Consider the following 25,859-nt stretch of genomic DNA (forward strand, 5'->3'; position numbering starts at 1 on the left):
CCAACTCCTGGGCTCAGGTGATCTGCCCACCTCAGCCTCCCAAAGTACTAGGATTGCAGGCGTGAGCCATCACACTCGGTCTGACAAATTATGGTTTTTAACATTTTTTACACCTGACTGCACCCAAAAGAGTACATTTACTATGGAGTTCAGTAAATATCTATTTTAAAAAAAAAGTCCCATAGCATTTTTAAAAATATGAACTCAACATCTCTTTGTATCAATAAAAGTGAGATATAGATTTGATTTATGTATCTCTAGTTCACCTAAGTTCACTCAGATAGTAGACAGACTGAATACTAATTGAGGAGATTAATCACAAGCAGTTCATATCCAAACACTGAAAAATGTAGTAAATATCTGATGAATGAGTTGATGAATATTCATTTTTCTCCATATATATATATATATATATATCCCTTTGACATAGTCTCTGTGCATGTTTTTGTGCATGAATGTATGTGTATGTGTTTGTGTATATATAGACACATGTATATATACACACATACGTATATATACATATATGTTTATATATGTATATATGTGTTTTATATATACATGTGTATGTGTATACATATATATGCACACGTATATACTCATATGTATATACACACACATATATATGTTTCTGAGCTAGAGTCTGGGTATGTTTCTTCATAAGAAAATTTTATGCCTCCAAAGTATTTCCACATTATTTATAATAATATATAATAACATCACATTGTGTAAGTAATAACATTAGTTTATCATCCATTTATTCTTTATCCAGCATAGGTAGAATTAGATGATTCAAAATTGCAAAGAGAAACATAATTTATTTTGGAAGATTGTACATTTTTGTAAGTTTCTAAAAAGCTAAAAACTTTCATGAATTTTGTACTTGAGAAATTACTGTGATTCCTTTGTTAATTCATAAACCTAATGGTATAACCATCACCTTTCTGACTGCCATGCTATCTTAACATTTTTAATTTGGGGAGGGGTTCTAAACTTTGTATCCCAATTATATTCTGGTGATAACAGCTTAGTAGGTTTATTGACAAAAAAATATTTGTTTAGGTAGCTTTCATATAGGCTGTTAAGTTTATTTGTGGTGTCCTGAACAGTTCCTTTCTGCTATTCTTTTTTTTTAAATTTTATTATTATTATACTTTAAGTTTTAGGGTACATGTGCACAATGTGCAGGTTAGTTACATATGTATACATGTGCCATGCTGGTGTGCTGCATCCATTAACTCGTCATTTAGCATTAGGTATATCTCCTAATGCTATCCCTCCCCACTCCCCCCACCCCACAACAGTCCCCAGAGTGTGATGTTCCCCTTCCTGTGTTCATGTGTTCTCATTGTTCAATTCCCACCTATGAGTAAGAACATGCGGTGTTTGGTTTTTTGTCCTTGCGATAGTTTACTGAGAATGATGATTTCCAATTTCATCCATGTCCCTACAAAGGACATGAACTCATCATTTCTTATGGCTGCATAGTATTCCTTGGTGTATATGTGCCACATTTTCTTAATCTGGTCTGTCATTGTTAGACATTTGGGTTGGTTCCAAGTCTTTGCTATTGTGAATAGTGCCGCAATAAACATACGAGTGCATGTGTCTTTATAGCAGCATGATTTATAGTACTTTGGGTATATACCCAGTAATGGGATGGCTGGGTCAAATGGTATTTCTAGTTCTAGATCCCTGAGGAATCGCCACACTGGCTTCCACAATGGTTGAACCAGTTTACAGTCCCACCAACAGTGTAAAAGTGTTCCTATTTCTCCACATCTTCCCAGCACCCGTTGTTTCCTGACTTTTTTAATGATTGCCATTCTAACCGGTGTGAGATGGTATCTCATTGTGGTTTTGATTTGCATTTCTCTGATGGCCAGTGATGGTGAGCATTTTTTCATGTGTTTTTTGGCTGCATAAATGTCTTCTTTTGTGAAGTGTCTGTTCATGTCCTTTGCCCACTTTTTGATGGGGTTGTTTGTTTTTTTCTTGTAAATTTGTTTGAGTTCATTGTAGATTCTGGATATTAGCCGTTTGTCAGATGAGTAGGTTGCGAAAATTTTCTCCCATTTTGTAGGTTGCCTGTTCACTCTGATGGTAGTTTCTTTTGCTGTGCAGAAGCTCTTTAGTTTAATTAGATCCCATTTGTCAATTTTGGCTTTTGTTGCCATTGCTTTTGGTGTTTTAGACATGAAGTCCTTGCCCATGCCTATGTCCTGAATGGTAATGCCTAGGTTTTCTGCTAGGCTTTTTATGGTTTTAGGTCTAACGTTTAAGTCTTTAATCCATCTTGAATTAATTTTTGTATAAGGTGTAAGGAATGGATCCAGTTTCAGCTTTCTACATATGGCTAGCCAGTTTTCCCAGCACCATTTATTAAATAGGGAATCCTTTCCCCATTGCTTGTTTTTCTCAGGTTTGTCAAAGATGTCAGATAGTTGTAAATATGCGGCGTTATTTCTGAGGGCTCTGTTCTGTTCCATTGATCTATATCTCTGTTTTGGTACCAGTACCATGCTGTTTTGGTTACTGTAGCCTTGTAGTATAGTTTGAAGTCGGGTAGTGTGATGCCTCCAGCTTTGTTCTTTTGGCTTAGGATTGACTTGGTGATGCGGGCTCTTTTTTGGTTCCATATGAACTTTAAAGTAGTTTTTTCCAATTCTGTGAAGAAAGTCATTGGTAGCTTGATGGGGATGGCATCGAATCTATAAATTACCTTGGGCAGTATGGCCATTTTCACGATATTGATTCTTCCTACCCATGAGCATGGAATGTTCTTCCATTTCTTTGTATCCTCTTTTATTTCATTGAGCAGTGGTTTGTAGTTCTCCTTGAAGAGGTCCTTCACGTCCCTTGTAAGTTGGATTCCTAAGTATTTTATTCTCTTTGAAGCAATTGTGAATGGGAGTTCACTCATGATTTGGCTCTCTGTTTGTCTGTTATTGGTGTATAAGAATGCTTGTGATTTTTGTACATTGATTTTGTATCCTGAGACTTTGCTGAAGTTGCGTATCAGCTTAAGGAGATTTTGGGCTGAGACGATGGGGTTTTCTAGATATACAATCATGTCGTCTGCAAACAGGGACAATTTGACTTCCTCTTTTCCTAATTGAATACCCTTTATTTCCTTCTCCTGCCTAATTGCCCTGGCCAGAACTTCCAACACTACGTTGAATAGGAGTGGTGAGAGAGGGCATCCCTGTCTTGTGCCAGTTTTCAAAGGGAATGCTTCCAGTTTTTGCCCATTCAGTATGATATTGGCTGTGGGTTTGTCATAGATAGCTCTTATTATTTTGAGATACGTCCCATCAATACCTAATTTATTGAGAGTTTTTAGCATGAAGGGTTGTTGAATTTTGTCAAAGGCCTTTTCTGCATCTATTGAGATAATCATGTGGTTTTTGTCTTTGGTTCTGTTTATATGCTGGATTACATTTATTGATTTGCATATATTGAACCAGCCTTGCATCCCAGGGATGAAGCCCACTGATCATGGTGGATAAGCTTTTTGATGTGCTGCTGGATTCGGTTTGCCAGTATTTTATTGAGGATTTTTGCATCAATGTTCATCAAGGATATTGGTCTAAAATTCTCTTTTTTGGTTGTGTCTCTGCCCAGCTTTGGTATCAGGATGATGCTGGCCTCATAAAATGAGTTAGGGAGGATTCCCTCTTTTTCTATTGATTGGAATAGTTTCAGAAGGAATGGTACCAGTTCCTCCTTGTACCTCTGGTAGAATTCGGCTGTGAATCCATCTGGTCCTGGACTCTTTTTGGTTGGTAAGCTATTGATTATTGCCACAATTTCAGATCCTGTTATTAGTCTATTCAGAGATTCAACTTCTTCCTGGTTTAGTCTTGGGAGAGTGTATGTGTCGAGGAATTTATCCATTTCTTCTAGATTTTCTAGTTTATTTGTGTAGAGGTGTTTGTAGTAGTCTTTGATGGTAGTTTGTATTTCTGTGGGATCGGTGGTGATATCCCCTTTATCATTTTTTATCACGTCTATTTGATTCTTCTCTCTTTTTTTCTTTATTAGTCTTGCTAGCGGTCTATCAATTTTGTTGATCCTTTCAAAAAACCAGCTCCTGGATTCATTAATTTTTTGAAGGGTTTTTTGTGTCTCTATTTCCTTCAGTTCTTCTCTGATTTTAGTTATTTCTTGCCTTCTGCTAGCTTTTGAATGTGTTTGCTCTTGCTCTTCTAGTTCTTTTCATTGTGATGTTAGGGTGTCAATTTTGGATCTTTCCTGCTTTCTCCTGTGGGCATTTAGTGCTATAAATTTCCCTCTACACACTGCTTTGAATGTGTCCCAGAGATTCTGGTATGTTGTGTCTTTGTTCTCGTTGGTTTCAAAGAACATCTTTACTTCTGCCTTCATCTCATTATGTACCCAGTAGTCACTCAGGAGCAGGTTGTTCAGTTTCCATGTAGTTGAGCGGTTTTGAGTGAGTTTCTTAATCCTGAGTTCTAGTTTGATTGCACTGTGGTCTGAGAGACAGTTTGTTATAATTTCTGTTCTTTTACATTTGCTGAGGAGAGCTTTACTTCCGACTATGTGGTCAATTTTGGAATAGGTGTGGTGTGGTGCTGAAAAAAATGTATATTCTGTTGATTTGGGGTGGAGAGTTTGGTAGATGTCTATTAGGTCCACTCAGTGCAGAGCTGAGTTCAATTCCTGGGTATCCTTGTTAACTTTCTGTCTCGTTGATCTGTCTAATGTTGACAGTGGGGTGTTAAAGTCTCCCATTATTTTTGTGTGGGCATCTAAGTCTCTTTGTAGGTCACTCAGGACTTGCTTTATGAATCTGGGTACTCCTGTATTAGGTGCGTATATATTTAGGATATTTAGCTCTTCTTGTTGAATTGATCCCTTTACCATTATGTAATGGCCTTCTTTGTCTCTTTTGATCTTTGTTGGTTTAAAGACTGTTTTATCAGAGACTAGGATTGCAACCCCTGCCTTTTTTTGTTTTCCATTTGCTTGGTAGATCTTCCTCCATCCTTTTATTTTGAGCCTATATGTGTCTCTGCACGTGAGATGGGTTTCCTGAATACAGCACACTGATGGGTCTTGACTCTTTATCCAATTTGCCAGTCTGTGTCTTTTAATTGGAGCATTTAGTCCATTTGCATTTAAAGTTAATATTGTTATATGTGAATTTGATCCTGTCATTGTGATGTTAGCTGGTTATTTTGCTTGTTAGTTGATGCAGTTTCTTCCTAGCCTCGATGGTCTTTACATTTTGGCATGATTTTGCAGTGGCTGGTACCGGTTGTGCCTTTCCATGTTTAGTGCTTCCTTCAGGAGCTCTTTTAGGGTAGGCCTGGGGGTGACAAAATCTCTCAGCATTTGCTTGTCTGTAAAGTATTTTATTTCTCCTTCACTTATGAAGCTTAGTTTGGCTGGATATGAAATTCTGGGTTGAAAATTCTTTTCTTTAAGAATGTTGAATATTGGCCCCCACTCTCTTCTGGCTTGTAGAGTTTCTGCCGAGAGATCTGCTGTTAGTCTGATGGGCTTCCCTTTGTGGGTAACCCGACCTTTCTCTCTGGCTGCCCTTAACATTTTTTCCTTCATTTCAACTTTGGTGAATCTGACAATTATGTGTCTTGGAGTTGCTCTTCTCGAGGAGTATCTTTGTGGCGTTCTCTGTATTTCTCTGAATCTGAATGTTGGCCTGCCTTGCTAGATTGGGGAAGTTCTCCTGGATAATATCCTGCAGAGTGTTTTCCAACTTGGTTCCATTCTCCCCGTCACTTTCAGGTACACCAATCAGACGTAGATTTAGACTTTTCACATAGTCCCATATTTCTTGGAGGCTTTGTTCGTTTCTTTTTATTCTTTTTTCTCTAAACTTCCCTTCTTGCTTCATTTCATTCATTTCATCTTCCATCACTGATACCCTTTCTTCCAGTTGATCGCATTGGCTCCTGAGGCTTCTGCATTCTTCACGTAGTTCTCGAGCCTTGGCTTTCAGCGCCATCAGCTCCTTTAAGCACTTCTCTGTATTGGTTATTCTAATTATACATTCGTCTAAATTTTTTTCAAGTTTTCAACTTCTTTGACTTTGGTTTGAATTTCCTCCTGTAGCTCAGGGTAGTTTGATCGTCTGAAGCCTTATTTTCTAGCTGTTTTGCGGTCTTCTCTTCCTTCCTTCCTGTATTCCTTTTTTCTCTGGTGATATGTTTCAATTTCTTCCTTTTTATTTTTTGTATATCTGTTGTAGGGTTTTTGGTTTGTTTGTTTATTTGTTTGTTTGCTTTCTGTTGCCCTGGCTGGAGTGCAGTGGTGCAATCTCAGCTCACTGCAACCTCCACCTCCTGGGTTCAAGCAATTCTCCTGCCTCAGCCTCCTAAGTAGCTGGGACTACAGGCATGTGCCACCACGCCTGGCTGATTTTTGTATTTCTAGTAGAGACAGGGTTTCACCATGTTGGCCAGGCTGGTCTCAAACTCCTGACCTCAGGTAATCTGCCCATCTAGGCCTCCCAAAGTTGTAGGTTTTTGATTTGAGGTTACCATGAGGCTGGCAGATAACATCTTATAACCCATTATTTTAAACTGATGACAACCCTAAGTTCAAAAACACACTAACAAGTGAGCAAAAAGAAAACTAATAAAACCTTTAAACTTTGACTTCATCCTTTTGCTTTTTAACATTTTGTTGTTTTTATTTGTATCTTGCTATATGCTATGTCTTGAAAATTTGCTGTAATTATTATTATTTTTGATAGGTTCATCTTTTCATCTTTCTATTCAAGATATGAATAGTTTATATACCATAGTTACAGTGTTATAATATTCTGTGTTTTTCAGCATACCTACTATTACCAGTGAGTTTTGTACCGTCACATGATTTCTTTTTGCTTGTTAACATCCTTATCATTCAGATTGAAGAACTCCCCTTAGCATTTCTTATAGGACATGACTGGTGTTGATGAAATCCTTCAGCTTGGTTTGTCTGGAAAAGTCTTTATTTATCCTTCTTGTTTGAAGGATATTTTTGCTGGATATACTTTTTTTTTTTTTTTTTTTTTTTTTTTTTTTGAGGCACAGCCTCACTCTGTTACCCAGGCTGGAGTGCAGTGCTGTAGTCTTGGCTCACTGCAACCTCTGCCTCCTGGGTTTAAGCGATTCTCCTACCTCAGCCTCCAGAGTAGCTGGGATTACATGAGACCACCATGCCTGTCTAATTTTTGTATTTTTAGTAGAGACAGGGTTTCACCATGTTGGCCAGGCTGGTCTCAGACTCCTGACCCAAGTGATCCGCCCTTCTCAGCCTCCCAAAGTGTTGGAATTACAGGCGTGAGCCACTGCGCCTGGCTTGGATATACTATTCTAATATAATTTTTTTTCCTTTGGCACTTTAAATATGTCATGACACTCTCTCCTTGCCTATAAGGTTTCCACTGAAAAGTCTGCTGCTACATATATTGCAGCTCCTTTGTATGTTATTTCTTCTCTCTTGCAGCTTGCTTGGTCCTTGCTTTATCCTTGACTTTCGGGAGTTTGATTATTAAATGTCTTGAGGTAGTCTTATTTGGGTTGAATCTGCTTGGTGTTCTATAACCTTCCTGTACATGAATGTTGATATCTTTCACCAGGTTTGGAAAGTTCTCTGTTATTGTCCCTTTGAATAAACTTTCTACCCTTATCTCTCTCTGTACCTCCTCTTTAAGGCCAGCAACTCTTAGATTTGCCTTTTTGAGGCTATTTTCTAGATCTTGTAGGCATGCTTTATTTTTTTATATCCTTTTTTCTTTTGTCTCTTCTGACTGTGTATTTTCCAATAGCCTGTCTTCAAGCTCACTCATTATTCTTCTGCTTAATCAATTCTGCTGTTGTGGGACTCTAATGCATACTTCAGTATGTCAATTAAATTTTTCAGCTCCAGAATTTCTGCTTGATTTTTCAAAATTATTTTAATCTCTTTGTTAAAGTTATCTGATAGGATTATGAATTCCTTCTCTGTGATATTTTGAATTTCACTGAGCTTCCTCAAAGCAGCTATTTTGAATTCTCTGAAAGGTCACATATCTCTGTTACTCTGAGATTGGTCACTGGTACCTTATTTAGTTCACTTGGGAGGTCATGTTTTCCTAGATGGTCTTGATGCTTGTGGATGTTTGTCAATGTCTGGGCATTGAAGAGTTAGGTGCTTACTATAGTCTTTGCAGTTTGAGCTTGTTTGTACCCTTCCACCTTGGGAAGGCTTTCCAAGTATTCAAAGGGAATTGGATATTGTTATCTAAGTCTTTGGTTACTGCAGCTGTATCTGCATTAGGGGTCACCCCAAGCCTAGGAAAGTAACACTGTGATGCTTGCAGGCTCATAGTTATACCATCTTGGTGGTCTTGCATAAGTCTGAGAGAATTTCCTGGATTACCTGGCAGAGACTCTTGTTCTCTTCCCTTACTTTCCCCCAAACGAATGCAGTCTCTCTGTCCATGCTAAGCTGCCTAGAGCTGGGGTTGGGGTGACACAAGCACCCCTGTGTCCACCACCACTGAGACTGCACTGGGTCAGAACTGAAGCCAGCACAACACTGGGTCTCACCCAAGGCCCGCAGCAACCACTGTCTGACTACTTGCCAGTGTTCACTCAAGGCCCAAGGGCTGGTCAGTCAGCAGGTGGTAAATCCAACCAGGCTTGTGTTCCCCTCTTCATGGCAGTGAGCTCCCCTCCCCAGCACAGGGAAGGCCCACGGATGCTATCTGGAAGCCAGGGCCTGGAGTTGGGAACCTTAGGAATCTACTTGATACTCTATGCTACTGTGGCTGAGCTGGTACCCAAGCCACAACACAAAGTCCTTCTTACTCTTCCCTCTCCTTTCCTCAAGTAGGAGTCTCTGCCTATGGTCACCATCACCTCCAGCCCATGGCAAGTACTTCCTGGCTACCACTGAAGTTCACTCAAGGCCCAAGTTCTCTTCAGTCAGCTTGTGGTGAATGTTGCCATGCCTGGGTCTCTCCTTTAAGGGCAGTGGGCTCCCCTGTGGCTGAGGACATGTCCAGAAATGCCATCCAGAAGCCAAGTCCTGGAATTGGGGTTGCCAGGAGCCCACTTCGTGCTCTAACCCACCATGGTCAAGCTGGTACCCAAGCTGCAAAACAAAGCCTCCTTTACTCTTCCCTCTCCTTTTCTCAAGCAAAAGGAGTCTCTCCTCATGGCCAAGGCAGCTGGGAATGTGCTGGGTCACACCTGAAGCCAACACTGTAATGGATCTTACTTAAGGCCCGTGCGGAGTACTGCCTGGCTATAGCTGATGTTTATTCAAAAACCCAAAACTCTGAAAACTAAGGCAAATGCAAATTAAAACCACTATAATATACCACTACACACCTAGTAGAATGGCTGAAATCAAGAACACTAACCATACTAAGTGTTGGTGAGGATGCAGAAAACCAGACCTCTCATAAGCTGTTGGTGGGAATGTAAAATGACACCACTATTTTGGAAAAAAGTTTGACAGTCTCTTAAGTTAAGCACACACTTACCATATGACCTGGCAGTTCCACTCCTAGGTATTTGTCTGAGGGAAATGGAAGCTTATGTCCCTAAAAAGACCCATACATGATTATTCATACTTGCTTTATCAGTAATAGCCAAAAAGCGGTAACAGCCCAAATGTTCAGGTGAATGATTAAACAAATTATGGTATAACCAGACAGTGGAATAATACTGAGTAATAAAAAGGAATGAAGTACTGATACATGCTACAACATAATTAAACCCCAAAATGATTATTCTTTGAAAGAAGCCAGGCAAAAAAAGAGCACATATGGCATGATTCTTTTTATATAAAATTCTCAAACTATCCACATAGAAAGGAAGTCAAAAAATAAAATACAATTCTTAAAATGTAAAACATGTAAACTATATAGTGCACATTTTTATGTTTTGGCTGCCCAGAATCCGAACACCCTTTTAAAGGAGGAATCCTAAATTTGAGAGGCAGCAGTATCCTTCTGTCCAGAATGGAAGTTGAAATAGAAATTTTCTCTTCCCACTTCTTGCAGCTAAAACATGGGCACATGACCCAAATTACCTGGCATTCTAAGGCCATGCTAATAAGATGGTACTACCCAGGACTATGTAAACTACCTGAGACTTTGACCCTTAAGGGGGTTCAGTTTGAGGTTATTTGAAGTGGAGTCAAGGATTAACATTACAGCGGATGTTTCCAAGAGTATGGAGGTCAGTAGTGAGATATTGAGTGTCAGGGTGATGGGGTCAAGGTTGGTGTTCAAACAGATTATTCCTATGGCAGGATCTTATCTGTGCATTTCCTCCCTCAGATCCTATTTCTCTCTCTGCAACTATTTGTAAACACTGTGAGCCACTTCCTACTGTTCTGTAGTAGACATTACTATTACTCACCACTATCCAGATCTCTCTTCCTTCCTAGACTCCACTTACTAGCCCTCTTGGACTTGGGGAGGTGCATGTGATAAGTCCAGTTGAGGCCCTGAAGAGCTCCTGCATGATTCTCTAGTGTCTCTCCTGACATGGCGACCAGCAGCATTCCAGAGAGTGGGCCTTCCATCATTCTGGGTCCCCAAATGACAATATGGAACAGACTTCCTCCCCCCAACCTTCACTGGCTCTGTAGGATGAGTAAGAAACTTTTCTTATGTGTGTTAGGCCACTAATATTTGGGAGTTTAATATTCTGATCCAATATCCAAGAATTTATCCATTCCATAAATTCTTTCTGTTTAGATGAATCAGGATTGGTTTCTGTGCCCTGACAAATTCAGGTGTTGGTACTATAGTGAGAATTGTAGGCAGCATAGAGATAAGAGGAATCTAGAATTGGTTATCAGGCCTTGTTTGGAGATAAAGGCAATTAAAAAATCATACTAGGAGCAAAGTCACCAAAATGGCAAAGAAGAAACAATCTGGCTTTACTGTCCCCCACAGAAAACCAAAAACAATATCCATTGCCAAGATTATCACTAGCAATGTCTCAGAACTCAAAGTTGAGGCTTAGACAATCCGTAGGGCCACAGGGAAGTGAAAAACTTCGAGTATACAGTAAGAGAAATAGGCTTCTCCATCCATGATACCCTTCCGCAGTCTACCATGCACCAGGTATGGAAAGTTCCTCCCAGACTCATGGTTTCTACACTGGAAAAAGTGAGATTGAAGCCAGCAGCCAGCTTCACCATCACATTGGGTTCCCTTGCAGGAAAATCATTCCTGCCTCATCTTATGGGAAGCATTGCGAGTTCCTGTAGGGAGAAAAACTCCTGAGGGCAGCTAGAAACAAAGAGAGGAGGCAGGAGTACTAACCCCAGCCCTCAAAATTCTGCTCTTTATCTCAGCCAAAGGAGATGCCAAATCAGAGTTGCTGTTCAGCAGCACCACGCTGTGGGAGGCACATGCTCCACAGGTCTTCTGGACACGAACCCCTAGCCAGCCTTCCCACACATCTGGGGTATTCCCTTTAGAACCCTTTGCTCAATCTAGGACCAGCAATGCTGTCTTAGTCTGTTTTTGTTGCTATAAAGGAATACCCAAGGCTGAGTAATTTATAGAGAAAAGATGTTTATTTGGCTCATGGTTCTACAGGCTGTATAAGCAGCATGGCACTGGCATCTGCCTCTGGTGAGGGCCTCAGCTACCACTCATAGCAGAAGGAGAAGGGGAACTGATGTGTGCAGAAATCACATGGCAAGAGAGGAGGCAAGAGAGAGAGGTAGGGAGGTGCCAGGTTCTTTTTAACAACTGGCTCTATAGCTTTCAAAGGAATTAACAGAGCAAGAAATCACTCATTACTATGAGGACCACACCAAGACATTCATGAGGGTTTTGCCCCCATGACCAAAACACCCCCAATTAGGCCCCATCCCCAACATTGAGGATCAAATTTCAACATGAGGTTTGGAGGGGCCAAATATGCAAACTATAGCAAGTGCTTTGAATGTTTATAAAAGCCGAGGCAAACTGGGGTTTAAGGCACCATGTTCTAGTCCTAAAAAGGAGGCAATGATCTGGGCTTAGGGAACTCACAGGCAGCTGCAAAGAACCTCTAAGGAAACATGCCATAGAGAGACCAAAACAAACCAAACAACAAAGATGGTAATAAATATCTAATTCCTCAATGTGAAGCCATAAACGTACATTTATAAGAAACAACAGCAAATGAAATCATGACCTCCACAAATGAACAAAGCAAGGAGCCAGTGACCAACACTTACAAGAGGTTAATGTGTGAGCTTTACTATTAATTCTACTCAAGCAATTCCAAAGAATTGAAGAGAAAGGAATACTTCCAAACTCATTTTACAGACCAGGATTACCCTGATACCAAAACCAGACAAGGACATAACCAAAAAAAGCAAACTAGAGGCCAGTATCTCTGATAAACATACATGCAAAAATCCTCAACAAAATGCTAGCAAACCAAATACAATAACACATTAAAAATATCATTCACCATCATCAAGTGGGATTCATCTCAGGGATACAAGGATGATTTAACATAAGCAAATCAATAAATATGATACATAACATTAACAGAATCAAGAGCAAAAGCCATATGATAATTTCAATAAATGCTGAAAAAGCATTCAATGAAATTTAACATTCTTTATGATAATAATTCTCAACTAACTGGGTATAAAAGGAACTTCAAAATAATAAAGGCATGTATAACAGACATACAGTTAACATCATACTTAATGGGGGAAAATTAAAAGCCTTTTCTCTAAGAACACTGTCTCCTTTTCAGGAGTAGATGATGCCTTAAGCCCAGGTTTGTCTCAGCTCTCACAAACATTCAAAGCATTTGCTGTGGTTTGGATATAGCAGGGAGGCCTACTTCTACCACTTTTATTCAACATAGTACTGGAACTCCTAGCCAAAGCAATTAGGCAAGAGAAAGAAATAAAAGGCATCCAAATTGGAAAGGAAGAAATCAAAGTATCCTTGTTCACAGACAACATCATATTTAGAAAAACCTAGACTTTACCAAAAAACTGCTTTTGGCATCACACTACCTGACTTCAACATATATACTACAAAGCCATAGTAACAAACACAGCATGGTACTGGCATAAAAACAGAAACATAGACCAATGGAACAGAATAGAAAACTCAGAAATAAATTTACACTTTTATAACCAACTCATTTTTGACAGACACCAAGAACATACCTTGGGGAAAAGGACAGTTTCCTCAATAAATGGTGCTGGAAAAACTGGGTAACCATGTACAGAAGAATGAAGCTAGACCCCTAACTCTCACCAAGTAAAAAATCAAATCAAAATGAATTGAAGACTTAAATCTAAGACCCGAAACTCTGAAACTGCTAGAAGAAAACCTTAGGGAAACACTTGAAGACATTGGTTTGTGCAAAGACTTTTTGGGTAAGATCTAAAAAGCATAGGCAACAAAAGCAAAAATAGACAAATGGGACCACATGAAGCTGAAAGCCTCTGAACAGCAAAGGAAACAATTAACAAAGTGAATAAACAACTCACAGAATGGGAGAAAATAATTGCAAACTATCCATCTGACAGGAGATTAATAACCAACATATGTAAGGAGCTCAAACAACTCAATAGCAGAAAAACCCAAACAATCCAATTTAAAAATGAGCAAAAGATCTGAGTAGACATTTCTTGAAAGAAGACATACAAATGGCCAACTGGTATATTTAAAAATGCTCAGCATCACTAATCATTAGGGAAATTCAAATCAAAACTACAGTGAAATATCATCTCACCTCAGTTAAAATGACTTATCAAAAAGACAAAAAATATTAGATGCTGATGAGGATGCAGAGAAAGGAGAATGCTCATACACTGTTGGTAGGAATGTAAATTACTATAGCCACTATGGAAAATAGCATGGAGGTTCCTCAAAAAACTAAAAATAGAACTACCCTATGATCCAGCAATCCCATTGCTAAATCCAAAAGAAAGAAAATCTTTTGAATCCAAAAGAAAGGAACCCAAAGGAAAGGAAATCTTCATTTGAATCCAAAAGAAAGGAAATCACTATATTGAAGTAATATCTGCACTCCCATGTTTCCTGCAGCACTATTCACAATAGCCAAGATATTGAGTCAACCTGTGTCCAACAACAGATGAGTGGATAAAGAACAAGTGGTATAGATACACAATGGAATATTACTAAGCCATAAAAAAGAATGAACTCCTGTCATTTGTGGCAACGTGGATGGAACTGGAGATCATGTTAAGTGAAATAAGCTAGGCACAGAAAGACAAATTTTACATGTGCTCACTCATGTTTGGGTGCCAAAAAAATGGATCTCATGGAGGTAGAGAGTTGATTGGTGGTTATTAAAGGTTGAGAAAGGTAGGGGTATGGGAAGATGAAGAAAAGTGAATTAATGAGTAAAAAGTACAAAAGTACAATTAAATAGAGGTAATAAGATCTAGTCTTTGAAAGTACAGTCGGGTGGCTATAGTCAAAAATAATATATTGTATAGTTCCAAATAGCTAGAAGAAAGTAATTGGAATGTTCCCAAGATAAGGAAACATGTTTGAGATTATGGATATCCCAGTTACCCTGATTGGATCATTATACACTGTATGCATTTATCAAAATATTACATGTACCCCCTAAATATGTACAACTATTATGCATCAATAAAAAATCATATTAGTATTCAAAAATAAGTATCTAGAAGCCTGAGGAATATATTAGTAAACAGCTAATTAAATTATCCCTGCAGTCACATGAATAAGGTCACTATTGATGCCAAAGACTTTTGGCATGCTGTGGTTTGAATGTGTCCCCCAAATTTCATGTGTTGGAAATTTAATCCCCAAATTCGTGTGTTGATGGCATTTGAAGGTGGGGCCTTTGGGAAAAAATCAGGATTAGATAAGGCCATCAGATGAGGCCCTCTGATGAGAATGGTGGCTTTATAAGAAGAAAAAGAGAGATCTGAGCTGGCAAGCTCTTGACCTCTTGCCATGTGATGTCCTCCACCATGTTATGATGAGGAAGAAGGCCCTCACCAGATGCCAGCCCCTCTCCCTTGGGCTTCCCAGCCTCCAGAACCATGAGCTAAATAAAATTCCACTCTTTACAAATTACCCAGTCTGTGGTATTCTGTTATAGCAACAAAAAAATGGACTAAGGGCAATTATGGTTCTTGCTATAAAAATGTGGGGAAAAGCAAGAGAGATCAGATTGTTACTGTGTCTGTGTAGAAAGAAGTAGACATAGGAGACTCCATTTTGTTATGTGCTAAGAAAAATTCTTCTGCCTTGAGATTCTGTTAATCTATGACCTTACCCCCAACCCCGTGCTCTCTGAAACGTGTGCTGTGTCAACTCAGGGTTGAATGGATTAAGGGCGGTGCAGGATGTGCTTTGTTAAACAGATGCTTGAAGGCAGCATGCTCCTTAAGAGTCATCACCACTCCCTAATCTCAAGTACCCAGGGACACAAAAACTGCGGAAGGCCGCAGGGACCTCTGCCTAGGAAAGCCAGGTATTGTCCAAGGTTTCTCCCCATGTGATAGTCTGAAATATGGCCTCGTGGGAAGGGAAAGACCTGACCATCCCCCAGCCCGACACCCGTAAAGGGTCTGTGCTGAGGAGGATTAGTATAAGAGGAAGGCATGCCTCTTGCAGTTGAGACAAGAGGAAGGCATCTGTCTCCTGCCTGTCCCTGGGCAATGGAATGTCTCGGTATAAAACCCGATTGTATGCTCCATCTACTGAGATAGGGAAAAACCGCCTTAGGGCTGGAGGTGGGACCTGCGGGCAGCAATACTGCTTTGTAAAGCACTGAGATGTTTATGTGTATGCATATCCAAAAGCACAGCACTTAATCCTTTACATTGTCTATGATGCCAAGACCTTTGTTCACGTGTTTGTCTGCTGACCCTCTCCCCACAATTGTCTTGTGACCCTGACACATCCCCCTCTTTGAGAAACACCCACAGATGATCAATAAATACTAAGGGAACTCAGAGGCTGGCGGGATCCTCCATATGCTGAACGCTGGTTCCCCGGGTCCCCTTATTTCTTTCTCTATACTTTGTCTCTGTGTCTTTTTCTTTTCCAAATCTCTCGTCCCACCTTACGAGAAACACCCACAGGTGTGAAGGGGCAACCCACCCCTACATAAAAATATACAATGATTATGACAACAATGATAATGACAGCTACCACTCATATAACTCTTACTATGTGCCAGCCACTGTCCTAAGAACTTTGTATATATTAACTTAATGAAATAAAGGACATAAATAAACTAACAGCCAACAGACAGATTAAATGGCTGCATCTAATGGTACTAGAGAGCTTAAATAAAAAGCACAAATCTGAAGTCAAAGTGTCCTTTGCAGAAGCTGCATCCTTCATGTATTTTGGACTTCCTCTGCCCCTCTAGCCCTAGGGATGGTTGCAGCTTCTCAGTTTCTTCACTGTCCCTTTTAGCTTCTTATCAATTCCATCATCTGTGTAACCAATTTTCACATGAGAATCTCTCATTTGAAATACCCATATTTTCCTGATTGGACCCTTATTTGATATAGTTTGTAGTACTAGGAGTTTTCTGTTATCAGTCTTTGCTGTATAACAAACCACCCCAAACCTGAATGGGTTAAAGCAACAATGCTTTAGCATTTCTCATGAATCTATGGGTCATTTGTGTGGTTCTGTTGATCTAGGCCCGGCTCAGCTAATCTCAGCTAGGGAGCACTCATGGTAGGTCTGTTGGAGGCGTGCTGGTTCATATTCACGTAACTAGCTGTTGGAAAACTGTCATCTGGGGGCAATGCAAAAGGCCATGGATAATAATGGCCATTTATGCAAACTACCAAAAGCCCTGAGAAATAGACCCTCACAATAATTCTGGGATTGCTCACTTATTTGAGTTGGAATACCATGAAACCTCCTTAAAAAGTAGAATAGGGTAACTAGAAATGTTTGGCACGTAGTAGTAGCATAGTTATTAAAATTATCTTATCACCTGTAGTTGCTTGGGAGGAAATGTCAATTGAAGGAAAGACTTTGTGACATTAAGTAGCTGCTGTACTCCATTGTGGTTATAATGAGTGCAAGGTCTATAGGATGGAATTGCTGCTTCTGATTGTCCTAGAGAGCTTATATAAGTAAAATAACAAGTCTAGAAATTTAAACTCTCACCTCAAAGCATGGACACAGAACCAGATGACTTTTATGGTGCCATTTAATTTGCGAGTGTGTGCATGTCCCTTTTAGCTCCTTAGCAATTTCACAAGGAATTCCGTGTGTGGCCATAGTCACACATGGCTGAGGATAAAACCCAAAATATACTTGTGTGATGTACATAAGTAGAATGAAATTTGAATATACAAAATATTCTATATTCTAAAAATCTCTTTCGTTAAATTTAGAGAATTGGGAAAGACTAGGACCCTCATGTGGGATGAGAACATTTGGGTGGATTCAGATGAATCTGAGAACTTGAAATTCTAAATCTCGAGGTTCCCATGTCAGTGGAAACAACTCCTCTTAGTATTCTGAGGAAATAAGTCTTTCCCTGCTTATAGAGGCTCTCATGACCCCATCCAATATAGCTGATTTATAGGGTGATGCCTATTTTCATTACTTGTAGACTTAATACCTAGAGTTAGACACAGCATGCCCCAGGGAGAGAATTCAAGATCTGCTCCAATAGTACATTAAAAGAATTTCAAGCTCTCACTAATTTATATTAGTAGGGAAACACATGTGGGAATGGATTATAAGACTGTTAGACCAAGATAAATGGAATATAATATTGGATTGAGCTGAAGTTACTAAAACAGGAACATTTACCTGAGATTCTGGATTTAGTATGTTATCTTACTAGTGGTTCTAAGCATTTTCTTGGTTGTTAAACTAAAATTTGGATTCAGTGGTAGTCCACAATTAATGAGATTGAGATGCCATAACTTCCCTGGCATTATGTGAGACATCCAAAGGTTTAGTTAGGGAGACAGGAATATTGGAGTGACTGAATTTATTATGTTCAGTCCATTCCCCTTCCCTCTATGTTCTTTGGTTGGGGGTGGGACTTAGAGGACATTTTTCTTCACCAAGTCATTAAGAAATGAATCAGTATGAGGAGATACTAAAATAGACTCTGATTTAAATAAAAATGATGCGTTTCTATATTACCGGAAAAACTCTAGGCCTGGTCAGCAGAAATGTAACTTGAGTTGCCACAATAAGTTATGGTCTCTTGCTATGTTCCCACACCTAAGTTAGTTTACAGAACTTGAATCCCTTGATTGAAGGGAGGCTATGTCACCTTGAGGGAGGACCTGTGGTTATTTGCTAGGACACCTATGTCCTTGGGGGAAATGTAGAATGGACACTAGTTCTGAGTTGCCAATAATTTCTAGGGTCTAGAAATGCTGTTGTGGTCTACTGAAGAGAGTGAAGACTTACAGAGAACAGGGGATAAATTGTGCCCTCAATGTATCTCACAGTGACCCCAGTATATAAGAGCCACTGTGTGGTTTTTGCTCTAGTTCCTGAATGTATGGTTGGAATATTTATACTTAGCAATTGGTCAAGTATTTACATCTGAACTTGACCCATGGAGAAATGGTTAATACAGTAAAAAGGGCCAAATGGAAGCCAATGGAAAAGGCTCTCCTACTAAAACAGCAAATCAAAACTAATAGCACCTCCCTGTAGAAATTGTAATTGTGAAGATCAGCGCTACCATTTAAAGACTTGAATATTGTGGGCTTTTGGTTCCTAGCACTTGCCTGCTTAGCCAGTATAAAACCCAGATGGAGTCGGAGAATGCCTGTGAATCACTGTAAAGTAAATTAAGTGCTGACTCCAATGGCAGCTACTTTTCCAGTTGTATCTTTGCTGGAGCAAATTAGCATAGTCCTTGGTATTTGGTATGCAGCTGGCAAATGTGTTTTTCCCTATATTGATTAGTGAGGATTATCAAAAGCAGTTTGCTTTCACCTGGCAGAGACATCAATAAACTCCAGAGGTATGTGAACTCTCCTATGTTGTTGTAATACAGTCCACAGGGTCCTTGATCATCAGAACAGCTCATAGGATACTATTGTTAGCAACAAGCTGATTGGATCTTTTCAGCAGAAAATAGCAAGAGTCACAGTTGTTATTCTAACACAAATGTATACAAAGAGGTGGAAGAAAAACCCCATAGAAATTTAGGGGCCTGACAATCAACACTATGTCTAAGGAGCATGTAGACATATTGCTCTAGACAAGCAAGTTCCTGTGCCTTGCACCACTTTCAACTAAATCAGAGGCACAATGCTCAGGGGGACTCTGGCTATTGGAGGTGACATATACTGCATTTGGGTTGCCACTCTTATTTATTGAGCAACTGGTAACCATTCCAATTTTGAGTGAGGCCCAAGACAAGAGAAGGGTCTACTTAAAGTCCAGTTTGTAGAGCAAGGTCTGTGCCACTTAGCAGACTCAAGTGGCAAATACAGACACTGGGTGAGGCATTTTGCATGACCCAGGTAGAAGATGAATGCCCGATACATAAGAAATTTACTTGAGCTATGACTCTTCTAAACACCATGAACTTAATGCTGTCTGATCCAACAAACTAAAAGCTTGGTGTATGCATCTGCGATCCATGAAATGGAAGTGGTTTATATGAGATTTGACTTGTGCAGATTGGTAAATTGGTGACAAGAAAGTCCGAGGTCCTTTATGGGCTTCTGAAATAGGCAGAGTGTCAGGATATATGTATCACATGAACATGCTCACCAAAGAGCAGTCTCAGCAGAGGAAGCTCTCAATAATCAAGTCGATGAGATAATCTATTCCGTGACTGAGTTCAGTCAGCCTTTTTCTACAGCCACCACAGTATTTGCTCAATGGGCCTATATACAAAGTGGCATTGGTGCAGGGATGGAAGCTGTGCCAAGGCTCAGTAAGATAGATTTCCTCTCATCAGTGATGATCTGGCTATCCCCACTGCTAAATGCCCAATGTGCCAACAGCAGAGACCATGGTGGCATATTGGTTACCTTGGATCTTTTCCATCATGTAAAAGTAAGAAATTTGTCCCCCAATAAAAATATGTTTGGTAGAGATTTGCCTTCCTTTCTTACAGTTCTTCTGCCAGGACCACTATTTGCAGCTTTATCCACTGCCTCAGACTAAAGAGGCTTTATCCTTTGCCTCAGACTAAAGAGATATATTTTTCTGTGAAGTAAGTGCAACAATAGACTCACACCCACGGAGTCCATTGCTCTTACCATGCAACTCATCACTGGAAGCAGGTCACTTTATGGCTTGCTGAAGATTCTGTTACAATGTGAGCTGTGAGACAACACTCTGTGTTGTTGGGTGCTGTCCTAAAGTATGTGGAATATGCCTTAAAATAGTGGCTACTATGTCATACTGTCTTCTCCATAGCCAGAATGCATGAGGTAGAGACGTGAGGCCCTCTTTTACAATTACACCAAATAACCCAATGGCGTCATTTTTGTTTCCATCTCTGCAAGCTTGGGTTCAGTGGGTTTGGAGGCCCTAGAGCCTCAGAAAGAAATGTATTCACCAGGAAACAGAATCATCATTCCGTCGACTGGAAGTTGAGACTTCCCCTTGGACATTTTGTATTCTCATCATGCTGAATCAACAGCCAGAGGAGTTCTCTGTATTGGGTCAGGGGACCCAATTATCAAGGGTCCAAAATTATCAAGAAGAAAGTTGGTTGCTACTATACAATAGTGGAATGGTGCTATATTTACAGCTCAATGTGTTCACTGGGGGTCTTCTACTACAATTTTATCCAACAGCCATTGTTAAGGGAAAACTGTGGCAATCCAATAAAGACTCACCAAAGACTCAGGTCCCATAGGGAAAACAATTATGCCATTCCACCAGGTAAAGAACAGTATCTAGCTGAGCTTTTAGCAGAGGGGAAGGAACATGGAATGGGTGGTGAAAGAAATGTGATAAATATGAACTTGACCTTGTGACCAGTTATGGAAATGAGGACTGCAGCAGGCATGCATATTCTTCTTATTTATATATTATAAACATAAATATATATTTCTATATGTTAGTCAATAATCTATTTTCTTTTTTCCTTCTATTATTTTAAAATGAGGAATGTTAGTTATTTTTGTGAAAGTTGTCAGGATCAAAATGGAGTCACTTGTGTCAAACCCTAACCACAACAAAAATAAAGCCAGAAGGCTGACAAGAAAGGGCCCTCATGCACACATGCTTATGATAAGAATGATTACAAAGACTCTCTGAAGAGCTCTTACACAGTTTGCTACATGAGTCACAAGGACAGCTAGCCAGATGCACAAGAACTCTTGTCTTACATACCAATAATGAACTGGTATTAACTCCTGCAATAAGCCCCTGTAACCAAAGTTATCTTTGTTTCAGAACAAATTATGTATACTTTTCCCTTTTACATTTAAAGGCATCCCCTTGCCTCAACCTCTTTCAATATGCCTGTGGGCTCCATAGCCTACATATCCCAGATTTGCAAATGCTCTGCATACTCCTGAAAAAACTTATTATCTGTGGAGAATCTCTCTCTGTTATTTACACTGATATTCTTTTATTAGTTTAGATCAGAGTTCACAAAACTGTGAGGAGCCAAGTACAGTTCTGATGGAGAGGAACTCACTTCATGTGGGCTTCCTGGACATGGTGAGAGACACTATGTCAGATGGTACTTTGTGTTCCATCTTTTTGGGAAGAGAGTGTCCATTTGTGCAAAAGTTAATTGAATTCTAGTAGGTGGAAGCACTAAGTCATTTTATGAAAGTTAAGTATGGATAGAAGGGTAAAAATGGGTGCTTTGTGGCACAGTGATTGGACTGTGTAGACATTTGCCTGTTTACTCTTGAATCTTCCATTTTTTCCTGTGCTCTGCTCAGTGTGGCAGAGGTCCATATTACCCAGACTCCCTTGCTCTCTGATGAAAAATACTAACAGAAGAGAGGAGGGTAGGAGGAGGAGAAAAGCCTGGATGTCCCCTCCACACCCTCACTATGGGTACCATATCAATTAGTAGCTGAAACTCCTCTCTCTTTTGTGTCACCTCATGCCAGATAACTTCTGCTAGGTTCTAGCTCTTTCTAGACATCCTACATTTTTCTCCTTCAACTTTCAGGATATTATTGCTTTTATTTAAAAATTATGGGTTGCCTCTTCTCCCTTGTATTTCTCCCAAGCTCTTTTATCACCTTCATGTCCAATTCCCTATATTAAATCCCCACTGTTTGAAATACCTAGAATAGTAGTTTCTGCTTTACTAGCTAGACTCTGACTATTGATAAGATGTGTGTGTGCATCTACAACCATCAGATCTTTGACAAACCTGACAAAAACAAGAAATGGGGAAAAGATTCCCTAGTTAATAAATGGTGCTGGGAAAACTGGCTAGCCATATGTAGAAAGCTGAAACTGGATCCCTTCCTTACACCTTATACAAAAATTAATTCAAGATGGACTAAAGACTTAAATGTTAGACCTAAAACCATAAAAACCCTGGAAGAAAACCTAGGTAATACCATTTAGGACATAGGCATGGGCAAGGACTTCATGTCTAAAATGCAAAAAGCAATGGCAACAAAAGCCAAAATTGAGAAATGGGATCTAATTAAACTAAAGAGCTTCTGCACAGCAAAAGAAACTACCATCAGAGTGAACAGGCAACCTATAGAATGGGAGAAAATTTTTGCAATCTACCCATCTGACAAAGGGCTAATATCCAGAATCTACAAATAACTTAAGCAAATTTACAAGAAAAAATGAAACAGCTCCATCAAAATGTGGGTGAAGGAATGAACAGACACTTCTCAAAAGAAGATATTTATGCAGCCAACAGACACATGAAAAAATGCTCATCATCACTGGTCGTCAGAGAAATGCAAATCAAAACCACAATGAGATACCATCTCACACCAGTTAGAATGGCTATCATTAAAAAGTCAGGAAACAATAGGTGCTGGGAGGATGTGGAGAAATAGGAACACTTTTACACTGTTGGTGGGAGTGTAAACTAGTTCAACCATTGTGGAAGACAGTGTGGCGATTCCTCAAGGATCTAGAACTAGAAATACTATTTGACCCAGCCATCCCATTACCGGGTATATACCCAAAGGGTTATAAATCATGCTGCTATAAAGACACATGCACACATATGTTTATTGCAGCACTATTCACAATAGCAAAGACTTGGAACCAACCCAAATGCCCATCAATGATAGACTGGATTAAGAAAATATGGCACATATACACCATGGAATACTATGCAGCCACAAAAAAGGATGAGTTCATGTCTTTTTAAGGACATGGAAGAAGTTGGAAACCATCATTCTGTGCAAACTATCACAAGGACAGAAAACCACACACTGCATGTTCTCACTCACAGGTGGGAATTGAACAATGAGAACACTTGGACACAGGACGGGAAAATCACACACCGGGGCCTGTCGTGGGGTGGGGGGAGGGGGGAGGGATAGCATTAGGAGATATACCTAATGTAAATGACGAGTTAATGGATGCAGCACACCAACATGGCACATGTATACCTATGTAACAAACCTGCACATTGTGCACATGTACCCTAGAACTTAAAGTATAATAATAAAAAAATAAAATAAAATAAAACTGGGCCGCAATCCTTGTACCATATACAAGAACCAACTCAAGGGATTAAAGACTTAAATATAAAACCTAAAACTACAAGAACCCTGAAAGACAACCTAGGCAATACCATGCAGAACATAGGCATGGGCAAAGATCTCACAAAGATGCCAAAAGGAATTGCAGCAAGAGCAAAAATTAACAAATGGGATCTAATTAAACTGAAGATATTTTCTCCACACAAAAATAAAATATCAATAGAGTAAACAGACAACCTATAGGATGGAAGAAATCTTCTGCAAACTGTACATCTGAGAAAAGCCTAATATTTAGTATTTATAAGAAACTTTAACAACTTTATGAGAAAAAAAAACCCATAGAAAAGCAGGTAAAGAACATGAACAGACATTTTTTGGAAGTAATAATAATAAAACAAGTTTTTATTATTCCTTCTTTGAAATGGAGGTAAAATACATATAAAGAAAAGCACAGATCTTATGTATTTGCTTGAATGAGATTTGACAAACACGTACATGTGATTGCACAACGCCTAGATGAACATATGGAACATTCATTTTACCTTAGGCTCCTTTTAAGTTCAGTTCCAGTTCTTCAGGGGAAATGTTATACTGACTAGAAACTCATACTCACCTGTTTTTAATCCTTATATAATAAAATTATGTAATAACATAAAATAAATAAATAAATAAATTTTCGGACTGTTTTTCTATTTCTGTGAAGAATTTTATTAGCGTTTTAATAGGGAATTACATTGAATCTGTTGATTGCTTTGGGGAGTATGGACATTTTAACAATATCGATCCTTCCACTCCATTAATATGGAATATCTTTCAATTTTTTTGTGTTCCCTTCAATTTTTCTCATCAATGTTTCATAGTTTTTATTATAGAGCTCTTTCACTTCTTTTGTTAATTTCTAAGTATTTAATTCTATGTGTGGGTATTGTAAGTGGGATTACTTTTTTTCAGATTCTTCACTGTTGGCATGTGGAAATGCTACTAGTTTTTGTACGTTGATTTTGTATGCTGCAACTTTACTGAATTTATCAGTTCTAATCATTCTTTGATGGAGTTTTTAGATTTTTTCAAATATAAAGTCATATCATCTGCAAAAAAAAGAAATTATAGCCATAAACTTTCCAAATTTGATTTAAAATAAAATTATAAACTTACAGATCCAAGAAGTTTAGCAAATCCCCCGAGAAATAAAAACACTAAAGAAACCACACGTAGGAAACCACAAGGCAAATTGCTGTATTTTGTGACAATGGTTCTCACACTTTGCTGCATACTATTATAGAATCACCTGGGAAGCTTGTAAAAATCCCAGTGTCCAGCCTTCACCCTGTGCCACCTGACTTGGAATCTCTGGGTGGGGCCCCAGACATCAATATTAGCTCTCCAAGTAATTCTAGGGTACAGCCAAGTTTGACAACCAGCATTTCATGTCCCCTATCTCTGAGAAAGAGGCATTAACTCCTGCAAGCAATGTCCCACACATGTGGGTGTCCAGCTGCTTGCCATTTACCTGATAAAGGTAAAATAAGTGAGCTTTTAGTGGGACCCTGGACAAGCTGTTTACCTGGTCCAGGCTGCCACAGCCCTTAAGACCAGTCATACTTTACATAGTTCAATGGGTCTGAAGTAGACTGGAATGGTGGTTGAAGAATGTGGCTAGCTGTGATTGGAAACTTACAGCACAGTCCCACTGAATTCCAGAGCAAGAAACCATCATTTTCCTCTTTAAATAGGAGTTACTACAATTTTCCCTTCTCTTTCTTCCTTGTCTCTCACTGTAGTGTGTTTGGATATGAGCTAAACTTGCCGTTTATGTCACAGATTGCAGAACAGTCATACAAGCTGTCTAAAGGATCAAAGGAGAAATGATCACTATCTGGAGAAGTAGACTCTGAGTAGCCTGGCCTCTGACATTATCTGTGGATTCAGTGGTCTGTTGGGAGAAGGGGCTGTGCTGGAGTAGTATATAACATTTTTGGATCATGGTAGAAGGGAATATTTTGAATGTATGGGAAGAAGTGATTGACAGCCAGACAGCCATAAGTGGAAAGTGGTAGATACTTTTAGAGGGTAGATACCCAGCTCACAACAATATGTGCTTCTCTGAGAACTGCCCATAGTGTAATCATTCTCCAGTAAACAAACTCCAGGACACAGCTGCTGGGAGCAGGAGTGGTGTTGTGACTTTTGAGTTTTCTTTCCTAGGAATTTAGAATTTTGAAGGAAGAAAC

At 39.3% G+C, this 25,859-nt stretch overlaps 1 long non-coding RNA gene across 5 annotated transcripts in view; it reads left to right on the forward strand.

Annotated features, from left to right (window-relative positions):
- The window catches only part of LOC102723324 (uncharacterized), a 93,479-nt gene that overhangs the window by 44,063 nt on the left and 23,557 nt on the right, over positions 1 to 25,859 (forward strand). The gene's annotated exons all lie outside the window — the stretch shown is intronic.

This window comes from Homo sapiens, chromosome 9, assembly GCF_000001405.40.
Source record: "Homo sapiens chromosome 9, GRCh38.p14 Primary Assembly".
Taxonomy (NCBI): domain Eukaryota; kingdom Metazoa; phylum Chordata; class Mammalia; order Primates; family Hominidae; genus Homo; species Homo sapiens.